This window comes from Homo sapiens, chromosome 2, assembly GCF_000001405.40.
Source record: "Homo sapiens chromosome 2, GRCh38.p14 Primary Assembly".
Lineage (NCBI taxonomy): Eukaryota > Metazoa > Chordata > Mammalia > Primates > Hominidae > Homo > Homo sapiens.
The window spans coordinates 229,481,176-229,494,115 of record NC_000002.12 but is presented as its reverse complement, the minus strand read 5'-3'; the positions used below and the strand labels follow the sequence as shown (position 1 = coordinate 229,494,115).

At 43.2% G+C, this 12,940-nt stretch overlaps 1 protein-coding gene across 1 annotated transcript in view, besides 1 other annotated feature; it reads left to right on the top strand.

Annotated features, from left to right (window-relative positions):
- Positions 1 to 12,940, top strand: part of DNER (delta/notch like EGF repeat containing) — a 356,927-nt gene that overhangs the window by 220,440 nt on the left and 123,547 nt on the right. The gene's annotated exons all lie outside the window — the stretch shown is intronic.
- Positions 7,165 to 7,666: an enhancer, noted in NCBI's record as "NANOG hESC enhancer chr2:230351166-230351667 (GRCh37/hg19 assembly coordinates)". NCBI's record gives its function as "activates a minimal SCP1, AML or CMV promoter by ChIP-STARR-seq in naive H9 embryonic stem cells {active_cell/tissue: H9 hESC(naive)}" and the evidence as "EXISTENCE:reporter gene assay evidence [ECO:0000049][PMID:30033119]".

Genomic DNA, 12,940 nt, shown 5'->3' with positions numbered 1-12,940 from the left:
GTGCCCCTTTAAAATTGGGCTATATTCTTTATTTCCTATCAAGCCCTAATATCATACTATTCAATTCAGAACAAGGTTCCTAGAGAGGTTCATGTAGCTTATTGCCCGAAGTTATATGAACCCGAAGCGCCAGAGTCAGGTACAAACCTGATACTGTCTGCCCTGGAATCTAGACCCTTATCTGTTCCACTTGGCCACAGCTTCTGAGCCAGCAGTTTAAATCCTGCTGCCACTCTTACCCTTTTCTAGCTGGGCTCCTTGGGAAGATTATGCAACTCTCTGGGCCTGCTTCTTCATCTCTGCAAAGAGATTAGAACAAGTCTCATCATGGCTGGTTATGGGTATTGAAGGAATGCAAGTACCTGATCAGTTGTCAATCCATACACCCAGTACCTAGCCTGGAGCCTGACACAAAGCAGGTGCTCAATAAGGACTTCCTGAATGAATGAATGGGTGAATAGAATGAGATACAATTCTATATGAGCCATACAGGTGTATGGTAGGGGCTCAGTTCTCTTATTTCTTCTTCCTCTTCCCTCTGTCCCTCAGCTTCTCCCTACAGCACATGTGTAATTTGTAGCTGGCTCGAGGGCAGCAACAATTCTATTCCTCTTGAGTTTTCCATCATGTCAGTGCCAAGCCCTGTGCCTTGTACATAGTAAACACACAATGGCTGATTAAGTTGAAATTTAACTTCTTTAATCAGGATTTATTAACATTTTATAAAAGCCTTCTAATTTCAAGAATATAATTCTTCCTCAAAGGAGCTATTTCTTTTTCTGAAAAGAATAGCGGTGATACAAGTTCAGAACCACCACTGCCAAAATATTATTAGCATTATGCAAAGCATTTTTCAACTTCAAAGCACTACATTGTTCCTACTAATTGGTGATTTCAGCCTATTTTTAAAAACTCGTTATTTCCGAGGCAACGGGAATGTTGTTGCGCGTGTTCCCTTCCCACATTTACTCTTTTGCACACTGACTAAGTGTCAGTGCCTTTGCGTTGTTGGTTTGAAATGGGTCACCTCCTGCTGGAGACAAATCCCGATTAGAATTTTCTGTGTGTCCCCAAACCCAGCCTTTTTCACCTCAAGAAGTGAGTGAATTAGCAGATCATGAAAGCAGGTTTTAAAAAGTAGGTTAGGCTGGGTGTGGTGGCTCAGGTCTCTAATCCCAGCGCTTTGGGAAGTTGAGGCTGGACGATAACTTGAGGCCATGAGTTTGAGACCAGTCTGGGCAACATAGCGAAATCCTGTCTCTATGAAAAATAAAAAAAGCTTAGCTGCGCATGGTGGTATGTGCCTGCAGTCATAGGTATTTCAGAGGCTGCCGCAGGAGGTTAGCTTGAACCCAGGTGTTTGAGGCTGCAGTGAACTATGATTGTGCTACTGCACTCCAACCTGGGTGACAGACTGAGACCCCCATCTCAAAAATAAATAAATAAGTAAAAAATGAGTTGTGAGTTTTAGACTGGCAGAAACCTCAGAACTCACCTCTGTGTGAAGCATGGAAGCAATATTGACTCCATAAGGCTGTGGGACTTGATCAAGGTCACAAAGCTCATGGGGGAAACCGGAATGCAGGCCTCTTCACTCGGGGCCCATCTTTGAGTCAAAGAGTGTGTTTCACTGCTACATATTAATGGTCTGTGAATTTTCTGTTAGTTATGAATAGAGTGGAAGGTATGGGCATTTCTAATGGTCTATGAATGTATTGCCCCTGTGTCATTCATCCCTTCTCAGGACCAGACATTGCACCCCTTGGGGCTCAGAATAACAAAACAAAGCTAGTGAGACATGGTACGTCAGGGCTTCAAGCTAACCACTTCTACCTACTGGTTGTGTGACCTTGTGTGATCCTCCTAACCTTTCTTAACTCCTTCTGGTTTCCTCATCTTTAACATAAGGAGTTGTAGTAAGGCTTATTCATTCAATAATTATTTACTGAATGTGTACTATGTGCCAGGGATTTTTCTGGGTGCTGAGAATACAATTGAGAATGAAGCAAAGTCCCTGTGCTCGTGGAAGTCATATTTCAGTGAGGAAGATGACTAGACAATATGCATATGCATTTGTGTATACAGTGTATGCGTGTGTATGTTTGCATATATGTAGTGTGTTTGTGTGTCTGTGTGTCTGTGTGTGTGTGTGTGTGTGTGTGTGTAATCATGGCAAAAATGGGAAAAATGGGGAAGTTGTTCTGAAGAGAATACTTAAGGTTATGGCTGAGCAACCATTTGGTAAGAGATCATGGATGTGATTCATGGATTTAATCAGCCATCTCAGCAGAAGCCAGGAATTGAGATGGGATTTTACCATCAAAGACAGTATCAGTTTGAACTACAGGGGAAGGAGAAAGTAGATGTGGAGTGAAGGAAGGCTGTCAGACATCAAGGAGTGATAGGTGCTGTGAAGAAAAAATAAAACAGGGTAAAGGGATGAAGAAAAATGGGAATAGGATTGCAGATAGGTTGACTAGGTAAAGCCTCCTAGAAGGGGAAATGTTTGTGAAGAGACTGAATAAAATGAGCTTGTAAACAGTGTGACTATCAGGGGAATAGGATTGCAGGCAGAGGAAATAGTTATATGCTATGCACAAGTGCTATGATCTGTGTTTGCGTTTCCCTAAAATTCCTGTGTTGAAACCTAATCACCAAGGTGTTGGTATTAGAAGGTGGAGCCTTTGGGAGGTGATTGGGTCATGAGAGCTTCACCTGATGAATGGGATTAGTACCCTCATGAAAGAGGGCCCAGAGAGCTGCCTTCTTTTTCTGCCATGTGAGGGCATCTCGAAGGTGCCGTCTATGAGGAATGGGCCCTCACCAAACACTGAATCTGCATGCACCTCGTAAATTTCCTAGTGTCAGGTATTTTGCTCTAGCAGCCTGAATGGACCAAGATAATGTGCAAAGGTCATGATGCAGGAATATGCCCAGCGTGTTTGAAGAGCCGGAGCACAGTGCCCGAGAGAACCTATGATGAGACCTGAGCAAGCTGAGAAGGAACCTGGACCTGGCCAGGAAGGAAGGACAGGGAGCTCATTCTGAGAGTGACAGGAAGCCACTGAGGGCATGAACTGGGCTGAGCCATTGGACTTTCCACTTAAAAGGATCACTGTGGAGTCTGGGGCAGAATAAACATAGGGAGGACAAATTGGAAAACCAGTTAGGAGGCTATTTTTAAAATATGTGCATTTATCAGGCTAGAGATAAGGACAGCTTGACCACTGTGGTGCTGGAAGTAGTGAGACGTTTTGGATTTGGGATGTCTTTGAAGGTACAGCTGATAACACTTCCTGGTGTGCTGAGGTGTGAGTGGAAGTGGAGAGTTGTGAATGACTCCAAAGTTTGTTTGTTTTTTTAAATAACAGCTTTATTGAGATACAATCCACATACCAGCAAGTTTACAATTCAGTGCTTTTTAGTATATTCATAGAGTTGTGCAGTCATCACCATAATCAGCTTTAGGGCATTTTATCACCCCTGAAAGAGGCCCTCTACCCTTTAGCTATCACTCTGTGGCCCTACCATCCTCCCCACCCCCCAGCTCTAGGCAACCACTCATCTACATTCTGTCTCCATAGATTTATTTATTCTGGACATTTTAGAGATAAGTCCAAGTATATGATGTGTAGTTTTGTGGCTGGTGTCTTTAATTTAGCAGGTTTTCAAGGTTCATTCAGGTTATACCAGGTATAACTGCATTCCTTTTTATGCCTGAATAATATTCCATTGTATGGATGTACCACATTTTGTTTATCCCTTTATGCGCTGACAGACACTTGGAGTATTTCCATCTTTTGGCTATTGTGAATAATGCTGCCAAGACACTAAGACACTTAGCCTGATGTACTCCCTCTTCAATTTTCCTCCAGGATCATGTGCTTCTAACCTTGTCTCCCTCTTTCTGCTATATTCCCTGTCCCTCCCTGCTTCTTTCCTGGCTTCTTGTTCACAAGGATTCTCTGGCCTTCTCTATCTTAAAACCAGTCCTGCAAACAAGCAGTAATTTGGAAATTCCTTGCTGCTCCTTCCATATGTCCACTTCCTCCGCTTTCTCCTCCTCCTTTGTCTCTTCCTCCTCTCCTCCTCTTCCCTCTTGTCCTCCACTTTGATCTCCCCTTCTTTCTCTTCCACTCTCTCTTCCTCGTTACTGCAACATATTGGTCCATCTTCAACTCATAATTTTCTACCCACTCCCTCATGCTGCTTTTCTCTCTGTATCATAAGAGTGCTTCTCCAAGGTCATCAGTGGTGCCCTTCTCACTGATTTCGAGGGCTCCTTCCTCATCCTTATCCTGCTGAAGTTGATCATTTTTCAGAAGCCTTCTCACCTGGCTTCCAGAGCACTGCACTGTGCCTGCTCTCCTGAGACCTCTCCCACCCTCTTCTTCCTCCCCTCCCTCTTCAGCTGCTCTCCTCTGCCTTGGGTAGCAATGGCTCCTTCTGAGCCATCACCTCAAGGTGGATGGCTTCCAGACCCCTTCTAGCCCAGCCTTTCACCTCAGCACTTTGCCTGCACCAGGCAGCAATGTGTCTGCCGACTCCTCCTCCCCTCCTCCCCTTCCTCTTCCTCCCCCTCCTCCTCACCACCTTCCTTCCCTCTGTCCGCGCCCCCCACACCCACCCAGTCATGTTGCCGGCCTCTCTCTGCCTCCTTTTGATCCCACACTTGATTGCAGTCTGGCTTTCTCATGCATCCCTAGTTTCTATCAGTGGTGCCATCATCTCCCTCCTCACTTGGGCTGGAAGCTCGGCCATTATGCTCGCCGCCCTCATCTCAGTTATCTTTGGAGTGCCACCAAGTTTCCTTTATTTATGATGACTCTCCATCTGCCCTGGCTCTTCCTCTTCCATTACCAATGCCCTGATTCAAGCTGTTGGCATCTGCCGCCTGGGTGATTGCACCCTCCCCGCAGGCCATGCTGCCTTACTCACAGCTGCCGATGTGATACTTACGAAGCCAGGGCCTGGCTGACCGCAAAGCCCAGCTGGGCCGGGAGGCCAGATTGCCCAAGTGCAGCGCCTGCTTCCACTACTCATTTATTGTGTGAGCTTGGGGAAGTTACTTAATCTTCCTGGGTCTCAGCTGTCTATCTGTAAATTGGGCATGGGTGACGGTATTCAATGTGCCACAATCCAATGACTGTGAAGATTAAATAAGATGATATAGGTAGTGTGCTTGGAAAGTGACCTGGTGCATAGTAAGCCCTCAACAAATGTCAGCTGTTGATATTGTTGTGATTGTCAAGCCCTGCACAGAGTCCAATCACCACTTTCTTGGCCAGAGATTTGGCTTCAGCTCTTTCTGCATCTCCTGCTCAGGGGAGCCAGGTTGGAGCAAAGATCACAGGAAAGCCAGGCCTGAATGGGCCACTTCCTGCCCACTGTGTCTGGCCTCAGGGCTGGCCTTGGTTGGCCCTCACAGTCTTTTCAAATGAACTTCATCAAAAGGAAAGAAGGAACACATATGAGGAAAGAGAGGGACGTAGGGTTAGAGTCTGCAGTCCTGGGTTGAATTCCACTCACCAACTTTACTTAGCTCCTCTGAGCCCAAGTTCTCTTATCTATAAAATGGAATGATGATCTTGACCTTGTAAAAGAAAACACACACGCAAGAACACACAAATGCACACACAACACACATGTGCACTCATATACATGCATATGCAACACATGCACACACATGTATACACACATGCACATAACACATACACAAACACAAAACATGTACACACATATACAAATGTAATATACACAGAGTGCACACATGCACGCAGACATGCATACACAAACATCTATCCCCACATCCACATCCACACACACTGGCACAGAATCGGTAAGCCATCAAGGGCACTTCTTTGTAGCCTCTAAACACTAGTAAGAGGATGAAAGATGAGAAAGATTGGAGCTTTCATTCTTCTGATTTCTTCTGCAAGGGCATTGCCCACTCCCCATCCCACACCCAGTTTCGACATCCCTCTTGGAGTTCTCTCATTTCGTCCAGACCAGAACACTTGCTCCCAGGGAGAAGGGAGGAGAGACCTTAAGTGCTCCCCTGAAATGGCGGTGAGTGGTTACAGGAAGAGATCAATATACAACACATCGTTACCATGCCTCTACTCTGTGCAGAAACCTTTGAAGATGCCATGTCAGTGACCCCAACTCTTTGGTTTGTGGATTGGGGGCCCTAGCCTAGCCTTGTTTCCCCGGCACATCAGTGAGGCTAGCCTGGGCACTGCCATGCACATGTGCCTGCCTTGGGACCATTCTCCTGCTCATTTACTCAGTATGCTGTTTCATGGGAATGTGTCTTACCTCCTCATCTGGAGCCTAAGCTCCCTGAAGGTAAGAACTGTTCCTGAACTTCTTTTAGATTCCCCAAATGTGAATTTTCACTCACAAAAAATTCTTTCTGAAGAGTGAATGAATACCTTCTTTAGAGTTTGATTTACTACAAAAACTTAAAACTCAACTAATAAATATAGTTATATAAATTTTTATGTAGTTTAAGTCAATCCCCTAACTTGTCTGTCTCATGGTGTAACACCTTAATTAATCTAATGTTTTCTTTCTTTTGATTTCAACTTCTCAGGAGTAGTCATCAGGACATACTTAATGAAATATCTTCCCCTTTGAGGTATTGAATTCTAAGTATTGAATTATCTTCCTCTTCGGAATCATCAGATTAAAAGATATAGATGGACTGTATCAATATTGCACTTTATTATTTGAGAGCTAGAGAAATTGAATAAAAGGAATTATATTAGAGAGAGTGATGCATGGTGCTTATGCAGTTATTAGTTTACTATATAATGAGTATTTATAGTGTCCCTGGCTCTGTGCTAGAGGCTGGCATAAAAGTAATCAATACCTGCCCTTAAAGAATAGGGAAGTAGATGTGTGAAGAATGCAATGACAGTTGCAATAATTGAGCCCAAGACCTCCCACTCAGAAAAAGAAGAAAACCATGTCAACAGTGCAATCACTAAAGGCTTTTTGATGTCATATAATATTTGACTTTCACCCATTGGCCTCTGATTTTTGTCCTCTGTAATTTGCGTTATATGTGTAATTCGGAAATGAATAATATTAATATTTGATGTTAAAAGATTGCTTGCTTCTAATTTTCCAGATGGTGGTTTTCAAACTCTAGCATGTACCTTGTATTAGTATCACCTGTAGGACTTCTTAAACCTCAGTTGCCAGGCCCCACCCCCAGAGTTTCTCCTTCAGTAAGTCTGTGACAATGATGGTCAATTTGCATTTGTAACGAGTTCCCAGGCAGGGCTGATGCTGCTGATCTGGGAAACACATTTTGAGAACCACTGCTCTAAATTGCCTGTATAAAAACTGAGAGATCCAAAAATATTGGCATATTGCTTTGCAGTTTTAAAATCCATAAATTTCACTCAAAAAATATTGAGCCACCTAGGACATGCCAAGCATGGTGCAAGCTCTTGTGGATTAAAGGGTACACTCCATAGAAATGGTACCTGCTGCTTGAAGTCATTATAATCATAATCTTTAATTCCTCCATGAGGGAAATGAAGGTAAAAGTCAACCTCTTAATGAGCTCTCTCAGCTGATTGTTGTATCACCATCCCAGACCTTCCACTCCCCAAGCCACTGTCCTTCCCACTGTGCCTCTTGTCTATTTACTTGTTAGATGTGGTTACTTTTTTCCCCAATGTTGAGATTAATTTTTCTAATTCTGCTGAATGTCAGCTTTCTGTCAAGCTTTTTTTTTTGCATATTCCAATTTAATTATATTTTACTTATTGTCTTTCATAGATGGGCTTCATGTATCTTCCTTTCTTTGCCTTTGGTTTTTAAATCCTGTTTGTGTTTGTCCAGATGTGTTTGTGTTTCTCCTGCCAGCGAATCTTACTAGTTTTTTTCTGTGCAATAATGTCTGCCTTCCGACTTTAAAATAGGATGCCTCTGAGACTGAACGTCTTGATGGTGCACTATTTATTCCCCCGGTTTACTTCTTGCCTCAGAGTGCTAATATTAGGCACTGCATCTTAGCAGACACGGCTGAGGCCCTGATACCAGCTGCTCAGATCCCCCCAGGGTGAGAGCTGAGACTGGTGGGTTCTCTTGGTAGCATCAGCATTCAGCCCAAATTCAGCAGCCTCACCTCACTGCACAGGCCAGACTATTAAAAGACCAGGAGCGTTAAAAATAGCTCTCGTCGCAATTGCCACCATGGGAGCCTTCAGAACAGCTCTCCAAAGAAACAATTAGACTCTGCCTTAGAGAGCCAAAGCAACACAGGAGAATTTTTTTTTTTATTATTTCAGTAGAGAAATCATGAAGTAAACATCATACACAAAAACAACTGTGCAGGGAAGGAGAATGTTTTTTTAAAAATGCCCACAACTGATTGATCGCCCTTCTTCTTCATAATCTGACTCATTTAGCTAACTTCGCTTACACCTCATGTAATTTACCATTGACCTCTGGAAGGTTTTCTTCATTTGAAGGGAAATGGTGGTGTCGATAATGATATATGGGTTGGTGGGGGGATTTTTTGTTATGTTGGAAATCAAAAGATATCACTCAGATGGTATGCTGTTCTGAGATTCACAGGCAAACTTAGCCACTCTTCTCTCTCTAGATATGAATACATTTTAAATTATATTTTATACTTAAATACAAAATAGTATAAAATCAAACACTCCAAGCCTATATTAGACCAAATGTAATCTGTGAACACCCACTGATGAAATGGATGCATTTCCTTCAAGTGTCTGGTCACTTTCTGCCTTTTGCCTTTTTAAGAATTTACTCACTGCCAGGCTTTGCTTCCTATGTCAGGGACTGTATTTCACCTAACATCATTGCTCACGGTCAGACCCTTTAAAAGCACGAAGCCTGAGTTGAGGGCTTTCCCGGCTGTGCCATATGTCCTCAAAGGGCATCCTTACCATGTACCCTGAGTCACAACTTTTCTTCTATCTTTGTTGTACTGCAGTGTTCTTCAAAGAAACAATAAAATCTCTGCAATTCCCTGAAAGGAGAGGTCAGTATTTTCAATAGTCATCTGTTTTTGAATGAATTATTTTACTTATTCATAGAATATCCCAATTATAAATTCCTCAGGTTCTTAGGGTTTTGGGTCAATGTATTTTACAACGGCTTTGAATTTGCTAGGGATTATAAATATTCCTGAGAATGCTGATTTTTAAAAAATGTTCTGAAGGTGCTGTTTCTCTGCTTTGTAAAGGAGCAGTTTCTGTTTAAGGGAAGATAAGAGGCTCTGAAACCAAAACAAAGGTTTATAGTCTGAAGGACTAAGGTTCCATTGACCTAAACCAGGGCTTCTCAACCTTGGTGTTCAGGACATTTTGCCTTGGATAATTCTTTGTTGTAGGAGACTGTCTTGTGTATTGGAGAGTGTTCAGCAGCAGCCCTGGCTCTACCTACTAGATGCCAGTCACACCTTCAGAGGTATAACAATACATAAAGTCTCCTGACATCACCAATGACACCTGGGGGAAGAATCACCCCAGTCAAGAACCACCGACCTAAGGAATTAAGTCTGGATATGGGCTCCTGAACAACAACAACAAAATGAAGAGTTCTGCTTCAGCCTTGTTGATTTGCCGTATTGCAGAGACCTGTTGGAGGTGCTGAATGCTAGCTGGAGAAACAAGATCGAAGTTCAGAAGAGGGGTAGCATGATGCTCTACTGATCTCAGTCTGCCTAGAAAGGAAGGGGCCCTTTAGCAGGACAGTTGCTCATTGCAGTGTTTCCCAAGTTAGATGTACAGACCATGATGGCAGCAAGGTGATTTTTGATGGCAGATATTTGAGATAACAATGTTTTTACTTCAGTAGCTCTGCATTTATTTTAATGTGCATTAGGAAAACAAGCAGCTAGCACATTTTACCCAGGCCGTTCTCGATATTATTGCTTAGGGAGAGGCTAAACCTAAGTTGAAAGATATGGTTGATTTTGGGACAAAAACTTTAAGCAAGTGGATTCGCTCCTTCAACAAATAATTGTGCCAGGAAATGTTTAAGTTTGGAGGGTCCAGAGGTTTCTCTCCAAACAAGGCAGAGAAAGTCCTGATTCTCAGGGAGTTTATGTTCTCGGAAGGAAACCAATAAAGAAAATCATTGTAGGTAATGAGAAGTATACAGTGATGAGCACACAGGTGCCCTGGGGATACAACAGGGGCCTCCAGGGATGCAGCCCTACTCCCATGGGTCACCTTCTGGGTGGGGAGGTAACAAGTATGTGTGTGTGTTTCAAGTAGAAATAAGAGCGAAGTTTTAGAATAAACAAGGGCAAAAAGCCTGAGGTCTGAGCAAGTGACTTCTGAGCTTAGAGCTAACTAATGAAAGAGGGTGGGCACAGAAGGCTGCAGAGTCAGAGGAAACAGCCCTGCAGTGTGACCACAGGGTCCAGGGGTGAGTTTTTTGGCATCCCAGAATGTCCTTTGGGCACAGAGAAGACTATTTGAAATTATCTTTTGTATGCGTTCCCTTGTGAGAAGTAAACTTAAACACTATAATGATTCTCAAGCTCTGTTCAACATCCCAATGGGTTCTGACTTAATCTTATCTTTCAACTTAAATTCATCAATCAAAAACCAATTACTCAGCTAAACATTTTAATTGGAATCATAAGTGTGATAGATTCTCTCACACATCACATTTTTTCTCAATCATCACACATTCTTTGCATACCAATAGGCACAGATTAGCTTAAACCAGACACGAAGTGGCAGAACCATGGGCTTGATCTACGTCCTCATATCATCATCTCTATACTTGGCTCTATCTCTTCTTGTGATTGGAAGACTCATACCGCTAATGGAAGAGCTTCATTATCCTAAGCTAACTGTGGTTCTTGACCCAAATGAATTGCAGTTGGCGCTCAGAGGACTAAGGTTGTTTCTGGGAGGGAGGTTTTTGGCTGTCTCAGGAGTCCTGGGCATCCAGGGTGATTCTTCTCATATCAGTGGGATGAGCACACATAGGCCACCTCTCCCTATTATTGCCATCCAACAGGAAACTCCAAGCTCATACTCATCAATGGGCTTGATTTCAAAACCCACAGCCCCTGAGTCCCAGAGACATTATTGTTTAATTGTTCTGATTTTATTGGTAACTCCCACTAAGGTTGTAGCTATTTTCCTTCCCTCCTTAGTTGGATTTTGCACTTTTCTTTGTAGCCCTCTTAAGACATTTTCATGTCTCCCTACCTGGTTCTAGAGATAACTTTAAAGCTTTGATACCCTTCTCTTAGGTCTTCTACTCTGTTGTGCAATTTATTTCTAAACCCTCCTGTCTTTATTTCCTGATTTTACAAATGAAATTCCACTATAACTCCACTGGTCCTCTCCTTTCCACTCCCAAAAGTTTATTGCTAACTTTCTTCAGTAATTTCTCCATCTCAGGACAATTTTAAATCTGTGCCCCACTTCTCTTTGTAGGGCAGGACTGTAACTGCTTCTGTTGAATCCTGCATCCCTCTCATGATTCTTTCTGGTCCTGAGGCCACAGCATGAAAACAATACTGATGCCTATGAGCAGAAGCTTGGCGAGATTCGGAATAGAGTGAGGCCTGGGTGGCTGCAGCACGGTGGTCGGTGGCAGGACTGGGCCAAGATGAGGGTGCAGGGGCCACACCGTGCGGTATCTTTTAGCCCCTGGGTAAAGTGTTTGGGTTTTATTCCAAACCTTTTGGGAAGCCATTGGAGGGTTTTAAGTAAGGAGTAATAGGATATGAATTATATCTTAAAAGGATCTCTTTGGCTATTCGTATGTGGAGAATGGATTGAAAGAAAGCAAGTGTGGCAGTGAAGACAGGGGCTGGGCGACCATTGCTGGAGTCCTGGTGAGAGGCAGTGAGGTTTGGGACTAGACAATGTGAAAGGTATTATGTGGTTGTGACAATAACTTGGCAGGTGGTTCACGAATGCTTGTGGTCTGCCCATGGGGGCTTAGAGGGAGTACCACTAGCTAGAGGAAAGAAAGACAATTGCTGATACTTGCCTCCATGGTTAGGTATAGACTTTCGTCATTTGGAAATCAAAATAAGGGAGTTTATCATTGTCTTGCATTTTTAGTCAAGTGTCAATGACATTCACACATTTTCTGCACTCTTGTGTGCCTTTACATGGGTTTTTCTCCATGTCTTGCCCACCTTCCACTTGGGAGCTATGGCATAGGTTTCCAGGGCTGAAATGCCTGTTGTGTATGCATGCTAGAGCAAATTCTTCCATAACACACACAGAATGGCCACCGTGTATTACCTTTTGTGTCTGTGGCATCGATACCATCAGTCTTGCTTGTATATCTTCTACGAGGTCCTCTGGGTGTCTGTCATTGCTTTAGTGGCAAAAGGAAATATTAGTCATAGTTGGTATGGTTACTTTAGTCCCCAGAGAAGAGTTTGACTTTTAGCAGGATGGAAGAAAGAAAACCCAGGCCAAGACTTTAATGGTATTTTTCATTTAAATTTCTACCAGTCACTCATTTAGTTTTGACTCCTTGATTATGAGATCAAATAAAAAACCAAAAGACACAGGAAGGGTGAGATTTGTGTAGATCTTAGGTATCCAGTTCAGAGTATTACATGTATATCAATACCAGTGATTTGCCCAACACCTTCAGTGAAGCCTCTGCTCTCTGAGGGTCTAAGGAGTCACTCGCTGGTATTTGAGAGTTTCTGAAGCCAGCCACAGGATGCTCCTGGCTCCTTGTCCTCTGCCTCTCCTCTTCCAGAACTGTCTTCACTTGGCTAGTAATGCAACTGTAATGGGAGTAATACAGTTGATGATGGTACTCTTGGGACTGCCAACTAGTAACTCCCTGGAGGCCAAGAATAATACCTGGTCCTCTTGGTGAGTCTGGTGTGAATGATTGTCAGGTCTTGAGCTCCTGCCATCATGGTCCATACGTCTAATTTGGGAAACGCTCG